Source organism: Homo sapiens, chromosome 11 (genome assembly GCF_000001405.40).
Source record: "Homo sapiens chromosome 11, GRCh38.p14 Primary Assembly".
In the NCBI taxonomy this organism is placed as follows: Eukaryota; Metazoa; Chordata; class Mammalia; order Primates; family Hominidae; genus Homo; species Homo sapiens.
In genome coordinates, this window is record NC_000011.10 from 76,379,089 (window position 1) to 76,401,751 (window position 22,663).

The window sequence follows — 22,663 nt, forward strand, 5'->3', positions numbered from 1 at the left end:
GACTGCTTGAAGCCAGGAGTTCAAGACCAACCTGGCCAACATAGATTTTTAAAATCTTGAAGTCGTCCTTAAGTTCTCTTTTTCTTTTACAATCTACCTCCAAACCATTAGCAAATGATGTTGGCTTCACCTTCAAACCATATCTCAAATTTACCATCTCCTCCTCTATTAATCTGGATTATTACAACAGCCTTTTAACTGGTCTTCCGGCTTTCACCTTTGCCTCCCCACAATCTAATGAGCAGCCACTGATCCTGTTAAAATTTAAGTCTCTGCTCTAAACCCTTCAATGACTTCCTATTTCACTCATAATAAAAACCATAGTGCCTTCCAAGACCTACAAGGTCCTACCTAAAGAATTTGCCCCTACCATACACACACCTTTCTGGTCTCATCTCACCTCTCTCCCAGTCCCTCTCCCTGGACTCCTGGTTGCCCTGTCTTTGCCTTCTTTGGAATGCTGCTGCCCAAGGTATCTCCATGGCTGGCCCCTTCACCTGGTCTTTGCTCAAATTCACCTTCTTAGTGAGGCCTTCTCTAATCACTGTATTTAAAATAGCAATTGTGCGTCCCTTGATACTACTTATTCCCCTACCCTCTAACCTTTGTTTATTTTTCTCCACAGTATTTATCATCATCCGACACACTACGTATTTTACTTGTTTATTCCCCCCCCATTAGAATGTAATCTTCATGAAAGCAAGGACTTCGATTTGTTCATCTGTAACCCCCACTGCTCACAACAATGCCAACACAAGTAGACCTTCAATAATTAATTGAACTAATTAATAAATAACATAAATTATAGTCGCCCGTTGCTGCACCTGTTCCCTTACTGGACTGAGAGCTTTCTGCAAGCAGTGACACCCTTATTCACCCATGAACTCCCAGCACCTAACATTTGCGCTCGGCACATAGTAGGCATTGATTTTAAATGAATGAACCAACAAGACAGGCCTATGAAACATCTCAGCCTTTCAAACACAGTCCCTATGCTATCATTCCCTAAATATGTCAGTGTGTGGGGGTTATCCGAAGGAAGAGGTTCCAATACCAATTTCCACGCCCTCACGCGTACACCCTCTGTTATCCCTACAATACCCAAGCGAGAAAATGAGTAACGGTGACAGCCAGAAAATGAATCCTGAACCGTGCAATGACAAGTCCGAAGGAGAAAGCAGTTGCGATGAGATGAAAGAAGGTAGCGGGACTCAAAACAGAAACACTGTCCCGGGGGTGGTGGCAAGGAGAGGGAAAGGCCCCAGTGGCCACAACCATAGAGTCCTGCTCTCTTTTGACAGCTAAGGAAACTAACGCCCAGAGAGGAAAGCGACTCCCCCGAGGTCACACAGCAAGTGAGCCACGGCGAGAACCCACAGCATCCCGCGTCCGCGCGCCGCCCCAGCTCCCTCGCGTTTGGGGTGGTGTCCTCCGCGCAGAGCCCCCACCAGCGCACGTGCTCCGAGGTCCCCGGACGCCCGCCCGCCCACGGCTCGGGGCCGGCTCCCCATCTCGGTCCAACGCTGGGGTCGACGGCAGTGCGCTGCGCCCGCCTCCTGCGCCCCTCTCAGCCAGCCCGGGAGCCCGCCAGGGGCCGGCGGCTGGCAGCGCTCACCGCGAAGGTGGGCCCGGGCCGCCCGCTCTGCGCCCGCCGCTTACCTGGCAGGGTCCCGCGGGAACCTGAAGAAGGCCAAGTCGGACTGCGTGCTCTTCCGCGTGCAGTTGGGGGCAGCGCAGAAGTTCGGCATCGTCGCCCGCCCGCCGGCCGGCCCAGCCCTCCCCTCCCCGCCTCCTCAGGGCAGTCCGCCCGCCCGTCGGGGCCGGGGAGGGGAGCCAGGCCGGCCGGCCGGCTCGGCAGGGCCGACGCGCGGGGGAGGGGCGGGCGGGCTAGAAGCCGCGAGGGCCAGGAGGGGTGCCGCGGTCCGAGGCCGGGCTGGGGACGCGGCTCCACAGTGCTGTGAGCGGCCGGGAGGATTTACCGCCGCCGCCGCCGCTGGTGCACCTCCCGCCCGCCCGAGACGCTGCCGCCTCCTTCCCACAATGCACCCTGACGCCCGGGGGTGCCCTCTCTTCCCTCAGCCTTCCTCCCCCGCCCCTCCTTTCCGCCTTCTCAGCAGGCGGGCACGCGCAAGGAAGCGCGCCTGCCGGGGTGTGGCGAGGCGGAGGCGGGACCTGGCGCGCGCCGCCGCAGTGCGACTGCGCACAGTCTAATCCGCGGGGAGAGAGAATTGCGCATGCGCGCCTGTCTCCCGGGACGCTAGAGCAGGCGGTTCCTGGGCTGCTCCGGTAGGTTTGGCGTGCGCGGGTTTCTGCAGATCTAGGGCGAGCTTGCACGTTACATCACCGATGCATCTCTTCTTGCTTGCTTAATTTGCCACCACTTAGGCCTTTCTTGCAGAATTCGCCATATACTCCTTAAGGGCCGCGGAATCGGAGCGACCTTGGTGACTGGCAAACTCTCGGCAGATGTGCGTGCACTGGTTTGATGCAGACGTGGTTGTAGGCGATTTAATTTTTCCCAGCTTTGCAGCGACTGTTGGCTTCCCAGAACGGATCTCCCCAGCCTCGACTGGAAGCTGAGGGACAAAAATTCATAAAAGCAATTACTCTTTCCCGGCGAGGCTTCTAGAAGAGCAAGAAGAGCGATATGATTACACCTGCAGCCCTATAAAGATTGATCTGTCCGTCTTTCCCTTACAGTCGTGGCCTGTTAAACGTTCCTGTGTTGTTCAGTGCCAGAATGAGTGACCGCTATTTAGAACAAAGGATTAGTATCAAATTTTGCGTGAAATTGAACAAGTCTGCAAGTGAGACCCACCATCTTTTAAAAGAAGCTTATGGGGATGAAGTCATGTCAAGGGCCAGAGTTTTTGACTGGCACAAAAGGTTTAAAGAAGGACGGGAAGATGTTCGAGATGATGCCCGAAGTGGGCGTCCAGTCACCCACCGAACAGATGACAATATCCAGAAGGTCAAGGACTTGGTTTGTTCAAACAGGCAGTTAACCGTGAGGATGATGGCTGAAGAGTTAAATTTAGACAAAGAAACTGTTAGGCTCATTTTGAAAGAAAACTTGAACATGAGGAAGATTTCTGCAAAAGTTATTTCGGGTGTTTTGAAGGGTGAGCCTAAACCACGAAAACTTGACTTTCGGTCCGATCTTTCAAAGGAAACTAGGAAAAATAGCTCATGTTTGAGGAAAAAGGTAACAGGTTCTGAAACATGGAGTTATCTCCAGGGTGAAGCTGGTGGGGAAATGCCCCTGCCGGTATCCCATCCCAGAGTCCACTACTCTGCCAGTCAGCTTCTGCAGGCGTCATCTTCAACAAGCCTTCCCCCCAGGGTAGCTGAGAATTGGTTCACCCCATGGTGAGAGGAATGTGAGTTAGCTGAACCAGAACTAGGATGCTGCCTCACTGTTAGGCACCTTCTTTGGCTGCTCACGTATTTTTCAGTCTTCACCACTCCTCCCTATGTGCCATGGCCCTCCTCATTACTCTTTGCTGGACTCTTGGACCATTTTCCTTGCTGTTCTCCATAACTTTGAAAAACTTTTGGCTGTTCCCTTCTGGTATTTGCTTGTTCTTGATTTCTTTTGCTCAACAAGTTTGGATTTCTTCTCTGCCCAGACCTTAGCTTGTTGTGGCTGTCCTGTTCCTTTGTTCTCAACCTTCTGCCTCAGAGGATCATGCCAGTGAGAAGAGAGGAACAGGATCTCCTGGAATCTGTATCTCTGTGCCCAGGGAAGCATGCTTTTCTGGGAGGACCCCAAAAGAAGGCTTACAGTTTCAGCCTGCTTTGCAGTCAGGGCCTGAGGTATGGTACAGAAGGTAGTAGCATGCTGGTATTACTGAACAGTGCTGGGCCTAGGGGCTGATCTGGCCCAGATGACTCAGTAGGCACCCTTAGGAATCAGGGGTTGGCCACCAATACTGATCTTCTCACAGGCCTACACCTCACAGAAGAGCTGGGTTTGTTTCATTCTAGTCCTATGCTTTGGACCTCCACTCATTTGGGTATCACCCCTGTTGGAAGAGGAGGATCTGGTGCTAGAAAATATAAACCCGGGGACCCAGGCAAGGCTGTGTTGTGTGGGGAGGAAGACCAGGTGGCTCTCTAGTCCCTGAATTAAGGGAGCCTGCTGCCTATGTGCGGATTCCCACACAGCAGCCTGTTTTTAGTAACTAATGCCTATAGTTTTGAGAACTTGCTGTTTTTAGGACACTGCTGGGCATTGACAATGTGGAGGTTATGAACAAGATCTCCAAGGGCTGATGGGCTTCATGGATGAGATGGTTCTTGAACTGGATCCATGAGGATGGGTGAGACAGGGCTGTGAAATTAGGGAAAGCTTCCGGGGCAGGTGGAACAGCATGAGGCTTCCAACCTGCATCAGTAGAAAATGACACTGGCCAGGTGTGGTGAATCACGCCTGTAATCCCAGCACTTTGGGAGACTGAGGTGGGTGGATCACAAGGTCAAGAGATCGAGACCATCCTGGCCAACATGGTGAAACCCCGTCTCTACTAAAAATACAAAAATTAGCTGGGCGTGGTGGTGCACACCTGTAGTCCCAACTACTCAGGAGGCTGAGGCAGGAGAATCTGTTGAACCCGGAAGGCAGAGGTTGCAGTGAGTGGAGATTGCGCCACTGTACTCCAACCTGGCGACAGAGCTAGACTCTGTCCCAAAAAAAAAAAAAAGGAATTAGAAAATGATGACACTATTGGCTAAAATAACAAAGTTTAAAGAGGAAGATAATGGTGTTGCAGCAGATGAACAATTTGGGATAATTTGCTTTCTCTCCTAAGCCTCCAACTCTATGCCACTTGTTGTTAAATTGCTTCCCCTGAGTCTGTGAATAGGTTTGTAACAACCAATTTGATATCTGATTTTCCATTTGGACCCCGACAAGCAGTTTCTGCAAGTTCAAACTCTGTCTCTTCTCTTCCTGCCTCTGCCAGGATTTATGGAATGGAACTTTTCCCAAGTGGGTTCCAAGTAATACCACATAGACTGGAAACATTCAGGGGGCAGGGGTTTGGTAATAGCATTTCACAGAATTGGCCAGTCTTTGTTTTACTCAAGGATTTTTAGATATAACAGCTCCTCTTAAACAATATTGCTTGATAGTAGAGGCACAACACTCATTCATCACAGTTACTTTTAGTGCTGTTCTTTCACTTTCTCTACTCACCTCCAAAAATTACAAGTTCCTCATTAACACCTGTTTTTGTTTTGTTTTGTTTTTTGAGATGGAGTCTTGCTCTGCTGCCCAGGCTGGAGTGCAGTGGCACGATCTCAGCTCACTACAACCTCCGCCTCCCAGGTTCAAGTGTTTCTCCTGACTCAGCCTCCTGAGTAGCTGGGATTACAGGTGCATGCTGCTACACCCGGCTATTTTTTGTATTTTTAGTAGAGGCGGGGTTTCACCATGTTGGCCAGGCTGGTCTTGAACTTCTGACCTCAGGTGATCCACCCACCTCGGCGTCCCAAAGTGCTGGGATTACAGGCGTGAGCCACCACGCCGGGTCAACACCTGTTAGTTTTGAGACACCTTGAAAGCTAGACGTTGTCCCACAAAGAGAAGATACTGTGTAAGAAAACTCTTAAACCAAACAACAGCTTATAGACCTCCAGCTCCTTAACAGTTTCTAGACATTCCATTTCAGGACAATGAAGTCTTCCTACATCAGATGCGGCTCTAGGTTGCCCACAAGCACTTGGCACCAGGGACACTGCACTTTAGGAACAAAGTCCCCACCACTAGTTCTTGCAGCTTTGTTGCTGAACCTCATAGTAATCCTTGCTAAGGCCTACCCAGTGGTAATTGTTGCAGATTTATATGCTCCTGGTCCCAGGCCAGGATCCCACAACCATACCTACAGGAGTTGTTTCTAACCTGTTATTAAACAGAGGTCCTGAGACAACTTACTTCTGGATTTTATTCCAGTCCTATGAACAGGGCTGGTATGTCCCTGCCAGTGATGCTGGACCAAGACCCATGGTGGAGTGTAGAGTACCAGAAGCTATGTTGGTCCAGACATGGTTTAGACACAGCAACCAGAAGCAGGTAATTAGGAGTGTGAATTCAAATGGTTCCAATTGGCTATAATGAAAAGGACTTATCCAGAGCAAACCATTCACATTTGGCTGCTCAGAATTTCTAAACCCAAGGGTAGAGCATGATCTGGGCATCTCCAAATAGGAAAGTTCTTATATGAGTACTCCTAATGTGTCCACCCACCAAATCTATTTTATTGCTGATGCACGTTTTGCCCTGGCCTGCACCTTGCTGCCTAGGCCTCTTGAGCTCCTGGTCCCGTAGTCTCACACATCCAGCTATGTGTCCGTCACACCCCAGGCTCTTGTCCTTGACTATCTTCAGACACCTCTCAGTTTATTCTTCACAGTTTGCTCTTACTCCTCTCTTTCCTTGTTGCTTTGTTTTCTGGTCCTGGGTCACATCTTCAGTAGCTGCTTTTGGTCACTTTGGTGTGCTGATCCTTGTATTGACCTTTGGGTCATGGTTTTCCACTTAACTTACAACTCTTCTCTGATTTTTTGGATCCTTCTTTCAGCTCCCCGCTTCAGCTGCTGAGTAAGGAAATTGTCTGCTCCAGCCCTGGCCCCAGGTTGCCTTCCTATCTTAAAGAAGCAGGGTGGGGTGACATGGGGGAATTATGTGTTGATTTTGTTTTTTCTAAGGGACATGGGCACCTTAGCCACCCTCAGTTGCACTCCCCAGAGGCACCCAGTGTCACCAGTTTCTCAAGGAGGCAATATGGTTACCTCTAGTAGCAAGAGTCATGAAACTTCTTCAGAGTTATAACATCCAAAGCCCATTCTCCTAGCAACTGTATTTTCCCTGGCAGGAGAAACTCCACCTAACCACAATAGATCAAGCCTGGCTTTCTGTGGGATGTCAGTAGGAGAGCTGGCCATCTGCAAACTTTCTCAAGCTTAACACCATCGGTCAATGACTCCGTTTGGCTTTCAGGTTGATCTTTGTCCCCGCCCCCACGCTCATTCTAATTCAAAGTCCACATGGAATGTTTTATGCCACAGCTGAGCGTCTAAGAGGAATACATGCCTTCTGGGGCAGATCATCCTAACACTGATTTTATGCAATTCTCCCCTTCCATCACCCCACCCTACCTTGCTTCATTTGCCCCACTAGTAATGATCAAAAAGAGAAAGAATAAAATGTTCACCAAATCTGTGACTTAGAAAAACATGTGGAGGGTTCTGCCATCTTCTGAATTCTGATCCTCACTGAGTCCTCATTGAAATGTTATTTGGGGAAGAATGTTTACCTGGGGCCTCCTTCCCAGAAACTTTTTTTCAGATGAATTTCTAGTCAAAGACTAAGACTTGCCTTTGGAAATGCCTGGATAAATCTGGATGCTAAATGACTTGAGGACACCTAATAAAGGAATGGGGTACTATTGGGGAATTGTCTGTCATTGCATTACAAATGCTGCTCAGTCTCCCTGCTATTTGCAGACATCATCACCAGAGAGTTTCACTAGGCTCGTTGGGATTGGGTCTCAGCAAGGTCCCATGTGACTCAATAAGAGCCCACCTTTGCTGCTAAATTGTGTATGTTACTGTGCATTCTCCAATTACTTCTTCTTCAGTCAGCCCACCCAGATTTTACCAGGCGTTTATATCTTTTCTGAGGTAACCATCATGTATTTATGTTCTACAGTGTCTCCCTTATCAGATCCTTGCAAATACTGTCCTAGTTGAATCACCCCTTTCCCAGTATTAATATCCGGAAACAAAAAATCTATAGTGGGGAGCTCCAGTGGGTCCCCTCCAAGGACTCACTTGGGCATAGTCCAGTGGTCAACAGACTTCTATAAAGGAGTCTTTATGGGCCATATGGTCTCTTTTGCCACTAAACATTTTAGTGCAAAAGTAGACATAGTTAATATAGAAACAGATGAGCACAGCTGTGTTCCAATAAAACTTTATAAATGGATACTAGAATTTGAATTTTATATAGTTTTTACAAAATACTATTTTGATTTTTTTAAACCATTGAAAAATGTTAAAAAGAGGCCGGGCACGGTGGCTCAGACCTGTAATCCCAGCACTTTGGGAGGCCGAGGCGGGTGGATCACCTGAGGTCAGGAGTTCGAGACCAGCTTGGCTAACATGGTAAAACCTCATCTCTACTAAAAATATAAAAATTAGCCGGGCGTGGTGGTGTGTGTCTGTAATCCCAGCTACCCGAGAGGCTGAGGCAGGAGAATTGCTTGAACCCTGGAGGCTGCAGTGATCCAAGATCTTGCCACTACTCCAGCCTGGGCAACAGAGGGAGACTCCATCTCAAAAAAAGAAAGTTAGACATTCTTAGCTTTTAGGCCATAGAAAAACAGATGGCAGGACAGATTTGGCCCATCGGCTATAGTTTGATATAACCCCCAGTCTAGTGTATATGAAGTGTGTATATAAAAATGACAGATGATTATTTTCCATCAATAACATTATTAATGCCACATTGATCTGGCAGTGTCTGACAATTTATTTGTGGAAATTGTGGGCCAGGCACGATGGCTCATGTCTGTAATCCTAGCACTTTGGGAGGCTGAGGCGGGCAGATTGCTTGAGGCCAGAAGTTAGAGACCAACCTGGGCCAACATGGTGAAACCCCATCTCTACAAAAAAATACAAAAATTAGCCTGGCATGGTGGCACGTGGCTGTAGTCCCAGCTACTTGCAGGGTTGAGGCAGGAGGATCACTTGAGCCCAGGAGGTCCAGGCTGCAGTGAGCCATGATCGTGCTACTGCACTACAGCCTAGGCGACAGAGTGAGACCCTGTCTCAAACAAAAAAAAGAAATTGTGGAATATTGGAGGGACTCTGTGGAGCCAGGAGAGTAAACTAAAGCTGAATGATTGGCTATTTTACCTTGAAATATTCTGGTTCACAAAATAAATTTTGTGCTGTTTTTGACTAAAAATGATATTATAAAACCACCTATATTATTCCCATGTAAAATATCAAAACCAGTGTTGGCAACACTAAAACTGATGCCAAGCTGCAACCAACAATAATAGAATGAACTGAAGGTAGTCCCAAAAATGATTTGACCATGGGTAGCATTTGAATAAGCTTATGTTATCACCTATTAAAGTGTGTACTATGGAGATGACAAAACTCACTGAAATGTATTTTTTGCATGCTTGCAAATATATATATGTATTACAGATACATATGTGTATTTGCACCTTGCAACTGGTGCTGAGATCTGTCCTTTTAGGTAAGTGTATTTGTCTTTTCCCCTAGAGAGCTCTTTATTGTGTCACCTTTATTTAAACTGATTTTCCAAAGTTGTAGTAGAATCTCAGCATTGAACAGTCCATTACAAAATTGTCTGATCCAGTCAGTCATGTTTCCTATGAGTTCAGGAGTAACTAAACCCTACAGCTGCTGAAAGATTGCATCTGAAAGAAGATTCTGTGTTAATTCACTCAACAATTTTTTATTGAGTGGCTGTATGGGCCAGATGCTATCTTGTGTGCCGAGATACAGCAGTGTACAAAATAGACACAGGCCTTGGATTAGATGGTCTGAAATCTAATTATATTACTCTTCACTCTTGCAAATTTTCTGTTCCGTGTGTGCACACTAACCCATTGTTAACTGCATACCTGGAAATAGGTATGACTGTTGCCACATGCCTTTGTGCTCTGGTCTTGATGCCTCTCCAGCTGCATTAATAATTAGAGGACTGCGTGTTTCATTTAAATTTTATTATCCTTTAGACAGATCTATATTGGCAGAAAAACACACTGGCAATGTTAGAAGTGTAGACTGGCAATGGTTTTCTGAAAAGCAATTTGGCAATATCTATCAGGAGCTTTAAAAATGTTTAGATCCTCTGATCCTCCAATTCCACTTCTGGGAATTTGTCCTAAAGAAATAGTCTAAAATGTGGGCAAAATCAAGGCTTGACAATCTTAAAGTCCAACAGTAGAAAATTGGTTAAGTAAATTACAGTATGACTATCCAGTAGACTGTTGTGCCATCATTATAATTTATGTTTCTGAAGAGTATTTGACAGCATGGCAAAGTGCTTATAGTGTTAAGTGAAAAGAGTGATATACAAAATTGTATGTATAAATCCAAAAAATGACTTTTAAAAAGATGGAAAGGATATGCAAACTCTGGGTAGTTGGATTATGGGTTTTCCTGGTTTTATGCTTTAAAAAATTTTCTCCAGTATATTACTACTTATATTATCAGTAAAAATCAATAGCATCTAGAGCTGGCAGTGGAGAGATTGAGGCCAGATCACTAGTTTGGTCCATGAACAATTAACTGGCTGGGTGGACACAGAGGCTATATGATCTTGTGTTGGCAGCAAGGCTGGGACAGAAGGGAAAAGGACCTGCCCAGGAGGAGAAGGGACCGTGTGACTATGTGACCATAATCCCTACAAAAAAACACAAAGTGTTAAGGGAAGACACTGTGGCTGGCATGCTCTTGTGATGTAGTCGTAGGTCGGTAAAAGACCACTTATGAATCAAGTATATTCTGACAAGTGGAAAAGGATATGAATGCTCTCCTGGGTAAAATTAACCTCCTTTGCATTTCATTCTCACATTCTCGCACAAAATGAATTATCAAGATGGATTTTATAATAGCTGATTCTCTGAAGAATCCCTGAGACTTTGTATGATTCTTTAGTATAGCAGTGGCTTTCGATGTGCCAAGTCTACCTCCTCCCATACTGGGACACTCAAGCAACACAGATGTACACGGGAATTTTGGGTATTCTATACTGAGAATACTGCACACATATCGTTAGTCATCTTAATGTTGTAACTTACCAAACTCTTAAGGTTTGCAAATGTGATTTTGTTGGCATCTAGAACCAGTGTATTTTTTATTTATGTCTGAAAAATAATCATTGTGGGGTTTTAAAATGAAAAATCATGTAGCTAATGCCTATCCATAGATGAAATTGTTATGTTGGGAAAATGTGTACTTAATCTTTGCTTTAGTAAAATGATTATTATAAAAATGTTAAAGGTCTCCTCAGTGAAATTTTAAACCTCCAAATGAGTACACAAGGTAAATACATATTTTATAGGCCTATAGCTCATATAATCGCCAAGCTGAAAGAGTTCTTTAAGATCTAAGTATAAGTCCTCTGGTCTATAGAATGAATGAGTGAGGCTTGGGTTTCAGTTCTGGCTTCTTAACTAGCTATGTGACTTTGGGCAGTTCATTTGTACCCTCTAAGGTTGTCAGTTAATTCATCTGTAAAAGGGAAGTAATGCCATCTATCTCATGGAGTTGTTCATTTTGTTCATTTCAACAATATTTATTGAGTGCTTATCTGTGTATGATGCTGTTCTAGACACAATAAACAAGACCCCAAGAAATGTTCCTCCTCGTGAGCACACATTTCAGTGAGGGAGACAGACAAGAAATAAGATAAATTAGTAGGCTGGGCACGGTGGCTCACGCCTGTAATCCCAGCACTTTGGGAGGCCGAGGCGGGTGGATCACGAGGTCAGGAGATCGAGACCACGGTGAAACCCCGTCTCTACTAAAAAAATACGAAAAAAATTAGCCGGGCGCGGTGGCGGGCGCCTGTAGTCCCAGCTACTCAGGAGGCTGAGGCAGGAGAATGGCGTGAACCCGGGAGGCGGAGCTTGCAGTGGGCTGAGATTGCGCCACTGCACTCCAGCCTGGGTGACAGAGCAAGACTCCGTCTTAAAAAAAAAAAAAAAAGATAAATTAGTAAAAATATCTATGTTAGATAGTGATTATTAGATGTGAGGCTTACATTAAACAGTGTATACGAGGCACACAGCACAACACCTGGCATGGAGTACGTGCTCAATAGAGAATAATTTCTTCTGTGTATACGAGGCACACAGCACAACACCTGGCATGGAGTACGTGCCCAATAGAGAATAATTTCTTCTGTTTCTTGAGGCTTCCTAACAGCTCCGGAATTACCCTACAACGTGGTGGTAGTCGGCAAGAAGCCTGACTGGTTGCTTTCTATCTCTTGCCAGTTAAGGCCTAAACCTGTTTCTGCTTAAGAAGACAAAAGAATTCTTACAGTGGTGTTTTGTACTTCCTATATGGCAGATTAATCAAGGTGGTGCCTAAACACGGTTGATAAATGACCTTTTCTGGAGCCAGTTGGCAGGAGTCCTTGCCTGGGGCAGGATGGCAGGTGTTAAGTCCACAAAGACAAATGCATAGTGTCATTGCTATTTAAGCAAAACAGACTAGAAGACCGAAACGGCTGTTTCTCTTAAAGAAAAGATGTGTGCCCTATGTCCTGGGCCAAATGCTGGAGCACTGAGCAAAGTTTGCAGTATTAGAAGGAAACTGCCTACTGCATTATTTATGGGAGACCAGGGCATTGACAGAAAGCCAGGAAAAGGAGAGTTTAATGGTTTGCGGTTTTGATATTTTTGTCCATTGTAGAAAATTTGGAAAGTTTAGAAATGTTTAAAGAAGCAGCCAGAAGTCCACTCCTAGAGTTCGGGTCTGTCATCAGACCCATCTCCTTGCCTCAGCTTCCTCCTTCAAAAACATCCAGCCAGGCTGGGTGCGGTGGCTCATACCTGTAATCTCAGCACTTTGGGAGGCTGAGGTGGGCAGATCACATGAGGTAAGGAGTTCGAGACCAACCTGGCCAACATGGTAAAACCCCGTCTCTACTAAAAATACAAAAATTAGCCGGGTGTGGTGGTGCATGCCTGTAATCCCAGCTACTCAGGAGGCTGAGGCAGGAGAATCACTTGGACCTGGGAGGTGGAGGTTGCAGTGAGCTGAGATCGTGCCATTGCACTCCAGCCCGGGCGACAGAGTGAGACTCTGTCTCAAAAAAACAAACAAAAAAAAATCAGTGAACGGTCATTTACTGAATTCCTTCTTCGAGCCTGGGCCTGCACTAGGCACAGAGTACAGCCCTTGTCCTTGGGCAGTGCCCAGCTTTGTGGGTTAGGGAAAGGGCCAGAGGTGGAGAGGAGCACCAAGAAAGGGTTCCTACCTTAGACTGTCAATTTTTCCCAGAGGACAGAGCTAAGGAACAAACTTTTGTAAAGAATTGGAACAAACAGTTGTAATCATCAACTAAGGGTGATTGTGAAAAAGAGACAGTGGACTGTAAAGAAGCAAAACACAGAATGATGGTAACTGTAGCTCTTCTTATGTAAGAGAGCCTGGAGCTCTGTACACAAGGATTTAGTGTGTAATATTACCTCTCAGAAGAAACTGGACTTGAGGCTGTGGGCCAGTACCCCTGTACCTTGCATTAAGAACCTAATAAGTGAAAATTCAGAATTACAACCCAAACTCGATGAGGGAATTGGCCCAGGGAGGTTGAGTGATTTTCTTGAATCGCACATTTAGTTGGTGGCAGAGCCAGGATAATAATGAAGGACCTTGAACTTCGCTCAGTCCGTGAGTTTTTTTCTATTACTCCATCGGTAATTATTTCCTTTACTAAAATGTACATTCTTATGATATCTTTAAAATCATGCTCACCCTTGTATTTAACAAATGATTTACTAACAGTTGATTTACATACAATTTTTAAGGAACATATTTATAGCATAGAAAGTGGTGCAGAGGGTTTTACCAAATTTCTCTGGGGTGTCCAGGTCCCCTGGTCCTTCCAGAGGTGCGTATTCATAAGTAAATGTTGGCATTCTGTCATCCATTTTTTCCAGATGTTCTTCCCAAGTAGTGTGTTATGTTTTGTGTTTTTAATATTTCTCATACACGTTTTTAAAAATCTGGGCACATAAATCCTAATAAAACTCTCAACTATCTCCTCTGTGCTGTCTCAAATTTCTGAGTATGCTTATATTCATGACACAGTGTCTGAAGTCATGAATGCTATCACATAATAAGGACTTATATCCCTAAACCCCAGTCTTATGTTTCTAGATGTTCTGAAAATTCTTCACACTTCACTTATAAATGCCGCTATACTGTACCATGACATTTCCATGGTAACATATATTTCAAACATGAAAACAAGAAGCCCAAGGAAAAGGGAAGTTGGTTTCCAATGCATAAATTAAAAAATTAAAAATTGTAGAATACATAAAATGAGGTGATGGGTGTAGTATAAGGGGATACAATTAGGGGACTGTATATTTTATTCTACTTTGACCTCTCCTGAACAGAATGTTCCTGTAGGCTCACCTTAGGGATGGGCAGTATCTACCACCCACCCAGTGGCCCAATCTTGGAATCATGTTTTCTTTGACCCTGACATCCTGGCAGGTCCATGTGATTTCCCTAACATCTCTTACTGTCACCTACTGCAACTGGACAGGGGTGGTCACCCACCTCTCACCTCACTGTCTGAAGACCATCCCCTACACTGCTCCTGTGCTATTTGGCTTGGAGTTTGCTGAAAACTGGAGACTTTTGGACACCAACTTTTTGAGCTAGCTCAATCATGCCCCACTTTGTGCCTGGAATCCCTCTCTGCTGCCATCCACCTGGGAAACTCCCCTTTTGGACTCAAGCCTCAGCCTCACCATTGCTGTTCTCCCCCACCACCCACCAACCCACTCAGTGAAGCAGCCACCCTCCCCTACCACCATGTAAAATGCACATTCTTTAATTTTTTTTTTTAGCTTTAGCTTTTGTGGATACATAGCAGGTATATATATATTTATGGAGTATATTGAATATTTTAATACAGGCATACAATGTATAGCAATCACATCAGGGTAAATGGGGTATCCATCACCTCAAGCATTCATCCTTTGTGTTACAAACAATCCAGTTATACTCTTAGTTATTATTATTATTATTATTATTATTTTTGAGAGGAGTCTTGCTCTGTCACCCAGGCTGGAGTGCAGTGGCACCATCTTGGCTCACTGCAGCCTCCACCTCCTGGGTTCAAGCGATTTTCGTGCTTCAGCCTCCCGAGTAGCTGGCATTACAGGTGCACGCCACCACACCTGGCCAATTTTTGTGTTTTTAGTAGAGACAAGGTTTCACCATGTTGACCAGGCTGGTTTTGAACTTGTGACCTCAGGTGATCTGCCTGCCTTGGCCTCCCAAAGTGTGATTATAGGCGTGAGCCACCACGCCCAGCCTTCCTTTAGTTATTTTTAGATGTACAATTACATTATTATGACTACAGTCACCCTGCTGTGCTATCAAATATTAGATCTTGTCCATTCTTTCTAACTATTTTTTGGTACCCATTAACCATCCCCTTTTCCCCCCACCCCACCCTCCACTATCCTTCCCAGCCTCTGGTAACCATCATTCTACTCTCTGTCTCCATAAGTTCATTTATTTTAATTGTAGCTCCCACAAATAAGTGAGAACATGAGAGGTTTGTCTTTCTGTGCTTGGCTTATTTCACTTAACATAATGACCTTCAGTTCTATCCATGATGTTGCAAATGACAGGATCTCATTCTTTTTTATGACTGAATAGCACTCCATTGTGTATATCTGCCACATTTTCTTTATCTATTCATCTGTTGACAGACACTTGGGTTGCTTCCAAATCTTGGCTATTGTGAATGGTGCTGCAAAAAACATGGGAGTGCAGGTATCTCTTTGATATACTGATTTGCTTTCTTTTGGGTATATACCTAACAATGGGATTGCTAGATTATATGGTAGCTCTATTTTTCATTTTTTGCAGAACCTTCAAACTGTTCTCTGTAGTGGATGTACTAATTTACATTCCCATCAACAGTGTATGAGGGTTCCCTTTTCTCTGCATCCTTGCCAACATTTGTTATTGCCTGTCTTTTGGATAAAAGCCATTTTAACTGGGGTGAGATGATATCTTATTGTAGCAATGCACATTCTGATGTCAAGAAAACTGTAACACTTAACTGAACTTTGTTGTTTGCAGGATGTTTTTCTTCTCTACTAGCCCAGGACCTCCTAAAAGCCAAGCCCACATCTGATTGTTCCATGTTCCCTGCATCCAGAATAAACCTTGCGTGGAACTGCTCAATAAATGTTTGATAGATGAATGAAAGAAGGGATTTTATGGTAATTTTTTATTGTGGTAAAATTCATATGACAGAATTCACCATTTTAACCACTTTAAAGTGTACATCTCAGTTGCATTTAGTGCATTCACAATGCTGTGCAACCATCACCACTATCTAGTTCAGAACATCTTCATCACACTAAAAGGAAACCCTATACTCATTAAGCAGTCATTCTCCATTCTCTCTCATCCTTGGCCCCAGCAACCATGAATCAACTTTCTATCTCTATGGATATGTTTGGACTCATGTATGTTTGTTTTATATTTTGTGTAATAATCCCATACTGTGTTACTTATTTTGTTGCTCAAGTTGTTCCAGCTTTGGCCATTGGGTGTTTTTTCAGGTTGGCTTCTGTGTCTCTTTGATGTGCTTCCAACCTTTTGTTTTTTCTTAGCAGGTCCTTACCTTCTGGTACTACAATATGCTCCAAGATTATCTTGTTTTTTGCCTTCCACACCTGTGACCAGCCATTTCTCTATTCTCGATTTCTGTCTAGCCCTGGTTCCTTTTATTGGAGAATGGTGTTTAGAAAGCAAGATATGGGCAGTGAGTGTATTGCTACTGGAATTTGGGTCTTTTTGATATCTTCCATGTCTCTACTTAACAAGCTCAATTTTTTCTTTAGGTTATTGATCACATGGAATACAGTGATAATAGTTTTAATGACCTTATCTATCAATTTTACCTATCTCCCTCAGTTTCATTTGACTGATTTTTGGAAATAGCTTTTGGCTATTACTTTTAAGCTTTGTTAGATGAGACCAGAGTAATATTAGTCTAGGGCTAATTTTGCCCCAGTGTTGAGGGCACCCGAAACCTTATGAAATATGTCTTGCCACTCTAGATGTTAGGAATAGGAAGTGGACCTGTGTGATCTCCAAAAATGGTTCCTTCTAATCCTTTTAGGCAGTTCTTTCTCTGGCCTCTGGTAGTTTCCTTACATACATGCTGAAGACTTGAGGGGGCTTTGTATATTTGGAAGCAATGTTGCCAGGTGGTACTCAGAGGTTCTGGGATATATCTTCCTGGTGAACTTTTCCTTTTATCATTATCATTATCATATGATTCTTTATCCCTAGTAATTATTTTTGGCTTAAAAGCTGTCAATATTGCATTATTTTGCTTAGCATTTGCCTAGTATATTTTCCCATCGTTTTAACATTTCTGTGCTGCTATTATTATTATTATTATTTTATTATTATTATTATTTTTTGAGACAGGGTCTCACTCCTGTTGCCCAGGCTGGAGTACAGTGGCACAATCTCAGCTCACTGCAAACTACGCTTCCCGGGCTCAAGGGATCCTCCCACCACAGCCCCCGAAGTAGCTGGGACTGCAGGTGCCTGCCACCACACCCAGCTAATTTTGTATTTTTTTGTAGGGATAGAGTTTCATCACATTGCCCAGGCTGGTCTCGAACTCCTGGGGCCAAGCAGTCATCCCACCTTGGCCTCCTAAAGTGCTGAGATTACAGGCATGAGCCACCATGCCTGGGCTCAAATTAGATGTTTTAACAGCCAGTGTTTATTTAGATTTATAAACCTGCATACCGGCTTCGTTGCCTATCTTTCTCTCTTTTTACTGAAATATAATTCATATCCAATAAAATCGTTAGTATATTTACAAAATTGTAGAACCATCACCACTAATTTTAGAACAGATTACAGCATTCCACAAGGAAACCCCCTACCCATTAGCAGTTTCCTCATTTTCTTTAATCCCCTGGCAACCACTCATATACTTTCTGTTTCTATGGATTTGCCTATTTTGGAGATTTCATATAAATGGAATCATAATATGTAGCCTTTTATGTCTGGCTTCTTTCACTTAGCCTAATGTTTTTAAGGTTCATCCACGTTGGAGCATGGGTCAGTCATTTATTCCTTTTTTTTTTTTTTTTTTTTGAGATGGAGTTTCGCTCTTGTTGCCCATGCTAGAGTGCAATGGTGATCTCAGCTCACCACAACCTCCACCTCCAGGGTTCAAGTGATTCTCCTGCCTTAGCCTCCCGAGTAGCTGGGACTACAGGTGCGCACCACCACGCCCAGCTAATTTTTGTATTTTTAGTAGAGACGGGATTTCACCATGTTGGCCAGGATGGTCTCAATCTCTTGACCTCATGATCTGCCCACCTTGGCCTCCCAAAGTGCTGGGATTACAGGCATGAGCCACCACACTCAGCCCCTTCATTCCTTCTTATGGCTGAATAACATTCCATTGTGTGAATCTACCACATTCTATTTATTTATCAGTTGATGGACATTTAGGTTGTTTTCGGCTTTTGGCTATTATGCAGAATACTGCTATGAATGCTCATGTACAAGGTTTTTGTGAACATACGTTTTTAATTCCCTTAGGTATACACCTAGGAGCGGTATTCATAAGTAATTCATTATTTCTTGTATTCACTGGTATGCTGGTAAATATTTAACACCAGTTTTCACTTGGTAGGGTTGGGGATCTCTGATTTGTAACATTTGTTAATTTCTAGAGTGTAAATATTCAAATTACCAATGTGGCATCATTGAATGTAGAACTGGGAACAGATGCAGAGTAGTACACCATTCTATAGTATGTCTACTGTATAAACACAGGAGATACAAATAAAAGTTGCATGGTTGATAGCATAATGTGGTAAAATAATTAAGAAGGCATGCATTGTGAGGATTTTTGACCTTTATATTTAAAGTGATTCATTTAATTGTAAGTTTACATAATTTAATGTTTGAAAATGGGCCGGTTGCAGTGGCTTATGCCTGTAATTCCAGCACTTTGGGAGGCTGAGGCGGGTGGATCATCTGAGGTCAGGAGTTTTGAGACCAGCCTGGCCAACATGGTGAAACCCCATCTCTACAAAAGTATGAAAAGTAGCCTGGTGTGGTGGCCTGTGCCTGTAGTCTCAGCTACTCGGGAGGCTGAGGTACGAGAATCCCTTGAACCCAGGAGGCAGAGGTTGTAGTGAGCCAAGATGGCACCACTGCACTCTAGCCTGGGTAATAGACTGAGACTGTGTCTCAAAAAAAAAAAAAAAAGAAAGAAAAGAAAATGACTGTGTGTAACAACCAATTCTCAAAATTCCTGGAAGTTTTAGCAGTCTGCTATCTGGGCTGATCAGAGCTAGCTTTGGTGCCTCACTTGTATCCCACACCTTACATGTTACTTCTTTCTGGATTCGATTTTCTTTTTTCTTTCTTTTTCTTCTTTTGAGACAGTCTCACTTTGTAGCCCAAGCTGCCAAGCTAGAGTGCAGTGGCTCAATCTTAGCTCACTGCAACCTCTGCCTCCAGGGCTTAAGTGATTCTCATGCCTCAGCCTCCTGAGTATCTGGGACTACAGGTGCATGCCACCACGCCCAGCTAATTTTTTGTATTTTTAGTAGAGACGGGGTTTTACCATGTTGCCCAGGGTGATCTCGAACTCCTGAGCTCAGGTGATCCGCCTGCCATGGCCTCCCAAAGTGCTGGGATTACAGGTGTGAGCCACTGTGCCTGGCCTCAATTTTCTTTAAAAAACAATTGTTTTTTTATGGAGTTGGTCTTGCTATGTTGGCCAGGTTGGTCTTCAACACCTGGCCTCAAGCGATCCTCCCACCTCAGCCTCCTGAAGTGCTAGGATTATAGGTGTGAGCCACCATGCCCAGCCTGAATTCAATTTTCTTATAGACGTATATCTATTAATGTGTTAAAATACTTTCAGCAGGTTTCTGTGAGGTAAACTAACTGTCTTTGTTCATCAGAAAATGTCTGAAAGTTTGGCTCTCGCTTACTAATTTGTGTATAGGATTCTGGTTTGAGATTTATTTTTTGTGCACACTTTGAAGATATTATCCTACTGTCTCCTGGTTCTCATTGTTGCTGATGAGAAAGCTGATTTCATTGTAGTTAACATTCCTTTTGATAATCTGTCCCTTGTCACTGCAGACTTTTATATTTGCCTTGTGGTTTTGCAGTTTAATCAGTATGTGACTAGTCATGTAATTGTATTGTATTGTATTTTATTTTATTTTATTTCATTTTATTTTATTTTATTTTATTTACTTGAGACACGGTCTCACTCTGTCGCCCAGGCTGTAGTGCAGTGGCATGATCTCAGCTCACTGCAACCTCTACCTCCCAGGTTCAAGCGATTCTTCTGCCTCAGCCTCCCGAGTAACTGGGATTACAGGCGTGCATCACCCAATGCCTGGCTAATTTTTGTATTTTTAGTAGAGATGGGGTTTCACCATATTGGCCAGGCTGATCTCCAACTCCTGACCTCAAATGATCCACCCACCTCGGCCTCCCAAAGTGCTGGGATTACAGGCGTGAGCCACCATGCCTGAACTGTTTATTTGCTGTCTTCGTATGTTTCTCCAGTTTTGGAAAATTATCAATAATTCATGATGGTTAATTTTATTTGTCAATTTGTCTGGACCACGGGGTGCCCACATGTTTGGTCACACAATTATTCTGGGTGTGTCTGGGAGGGTGTTTCTGGATGCGTTAACATTGGAATCAATAGACTGAGTAAAGCAGACTGCCCTTTCTAATAATGCGAGCAGGCCTCATTCAGTTGTTGAAGGCTTGGATGGAACAAAAAGGCTGACTCTCCTGCAAGTAAGAGGAAACTCCTCCTGCCTGGCTGCTGGGACATCAGTCTTTTCCTGCCTCCAGACTCAAACTGAAACACCAGCTCTTTTTTTGGGTCTCAAGATTGCAGGATTTTGAACTGGAACTTACACCACTGGCTCTCCTTTTCCTCAGGCCTCTGGACTCAGGCTGGAAAGTCACTGTTGGCTCTCCTGGGTCTACAGCTTGCCAGGTACAGATCTTGGAACTTCTCAGCCTCCGTAATTGCCTCCATAATTGCATGAGCCAATTCCTTATAATAAATCTCTCTCTCTCTGTATACACACACACACACACACACACACACACACACACACACACACACGGATCTTGTTGGTTCTGTTTCCTGTTTCTCTAAAGAACCCCATAATGTTAAATCTTTCTTTCTTTTTTTTTTCTTTTTTGAGATGGAGTTTCGCTCTTGTCACCCAGGCTGGAGTCCATTGGCGTGATCTCTACTCACTGCCACCTCCGCCTCCCAGGTTCAAGCAATTCTCCTGTCTCAGCCTCCCAAGTAGCTGGGATTACGGGCGCCTGCCACCACACCCAGCTAATTTTTGTATTTTTTAGTAGAGACAGGGTTTCACCATGTTGGCCAGACTGGTCCTGAACTCCTGACCTCAGGTAATCCACCTGCCTCAGCCTCCCAAAGTGCTGGGATTACAGGTGTGAGTCACTCTGCCTGGCCCTTTTTTTGTTTGTTTGTTTTTTTGAGATGGAGTCTCACTTTTGTCGCCCAGGCTGGAGTGCAATGGCACAATCTCAGTTCACTGCAACCTCCGCCTCCTGGGTTCGAGCGATTCTCTTGCCTCAGCTTTCCGAGTAGCTGGGATTACAGGCTCACACCACCATGCCTGGCTAATTTTTGTATTTTTAGTAGAGCCGGAGTTTCACCATTTGGCCAGACTGGTCTTGAACTCCTGACCTCAGGTGATCCGCCCACCTCAGCCTCCCAAAGTGCTGGGATTACAGGCATAAGCCACTGCACCCGGCCCCTCTGTTAAATCTTTCTGGAACTCCTATGAGACATCTGTTTGGCTCTCTCTTTTTATTCTTCATTTCTCTTAAATTCTTGTTCGGGTTTTCTCTCTTTATCTCTCTTTACTCCATTTGGGGCATGTCCTCAAAATGTTTCTTCAGATTCCCTCTTCAGCTAGCTCGAATATGTAGGTTAACTCATCTTTGAGTCTTTAATTTTAGTAACTATGTTTTTATTTCTGGAAGTTCTATATGGTTCTTTTTCAAATTTCCCAACTCTTTCTCCTCCATACTATTCTGTTCCTTTATTATGGCTTCTATTTTTATATATATATATATTTTTTCTCTTTTTTGAGACAGGGTTTCACTATGTTGCCCAAGCTGCTCTTGAACTCCTGGGCTCAAGCAATCTGCCCACCTCAGCCTCCCAAAGTGCTATAATTACATGCATGAGCCACTGCGCCTGACCAGGCTTCTACACTTTCTTATCTCTCTATTTTAATCATCCTTACTTCATAGTCTCTTTCAGGTGTTTCCATTTTTACCCTTCATATCTCTAGTTTGTTTTGTTTGTTGACTCTCTATTTTGATCTTTTTTTTCCTCATGTGATTTGTTACTTTCTGAGAGTATTTTCCTCAGGATATTTTTTTTTCTAATAAATTTGTCAAGCATCCCTATCGAGGTATTTTGATTTGCTTCAGCCTAAAGCTAAGAGTTTTAATGGGTCTTGCTCCAGCCTAACCTATGAATTTTAATGATCTGGACCAATTTTTCTGTTAATTTATCTTGCCGGGCGTGGTGGCTCACGCCTGTAGTCCCAGCACTTTGGGAGTCTGAGGCAGGCGGATCACCTGAGGTCAGGAGTTTGAGACCAGCCTGGCCAAATGGTGAAACCTCGTCTCTACTAAAAATATAAAAATTAGCCAGGCATGGTGGCGCATGCCTGTAATCCCAGCTGCTCATGAGGCTGAGGCAGGAGAACCACTTGAACCTGGGAGGCGGAGGTTGCAGTGAGCTGAGATTGCACCATTGCACTCCAGCCTGGGT

At 44.3% G+C, this 22,663-nt stretch overlaps 2 protein-coding genes across 9 annotated transcripts in view, besides 3 other annotated features; one reads left to right on the plus strand and one right to left on the minus strand.

Moving 5' to 3' along the window:
* THAP12 (THAP domain containing 12) overlaps positions 1-2,044 on the minus strand; it is a 31,177-nt gene extending 29,133 nt beyond the window's left edge. For both annotated transcript variants that reach the window (NR_130898.2, NM_004705.4), the window contains exon 1: positions 1,660-2,044. Coding sequence is in view for 1 of the 2 variants with exons in the window: in NM_004705.4 (NP_004696.2) it covers positions 1,660-1,748 (89 nt within the window). In the remaining variant the exon portion in view is untranslated. The remainder of the gene's footprint in view (positions 1-1,659) is intronic.
* Positions 1,249-1,750: an enhancer, noted in NCBI's record as "H3K27ac hESC enhancer chr11:76091381-76091882 (GRCh37/hg19 assembly coordinates)". NCBI's record gives its function as "activates a minimal SCP1, AML or CMV promoter by ChIP-STARR-seq in naive H9 embryonic stem cells {active_cell/tissue: H9 hESC(naive)}" and the evidence as "EXISTENCE:reporter gene assay evidence [ECO:0000049][PMID:30033119]".
* Positions 1,249-2,322: a biological region, named in NCBI's record as "H3K27ac hESC enhancer GRCh37_chr11:76091381-76091882".
* Positions 1,393-2,322: a silencer, noted in NCBI's record as "silent region_3782". NCBI's record gives its function as "represses an Ori minimal core promoter by ATAC-STARR-seq in GM12878 lymphoblastoid cells {active_cell/tissue: GM12878}" and the evidence as "EXISTENCE:reporter gene assay evidence [ECO:0000049][PMID:35858748]".
* GVQW3 (GVQW motif containing 3) overlaps positions 2,235-22,663 on the plus strand; it is a 33,312-nt gene continuing 12,883 nt past the window's right edge. For 2 of the 7 annotated variants that reach the window (NM_001347884.2, NM_001347885.2), the window contains exon 1: positions 2,235-3,205. In NM_001347884.2, the coding sequence (NP_001334813.1) occupies positions 2,741-3,205 (465 nt within the window). In that variant the 5' untranslated portion in view covers positions 2,235-2,740. Of the gene's footprint in view, positions 13,818-15,885; positions 16,015-22,663 lie in introns of those variants that run through there. The other 5 variants (XM_024448282.2, XM_024448281.2, NR_130990.3 and 2 more) reach the window with 5 other exon arrangements.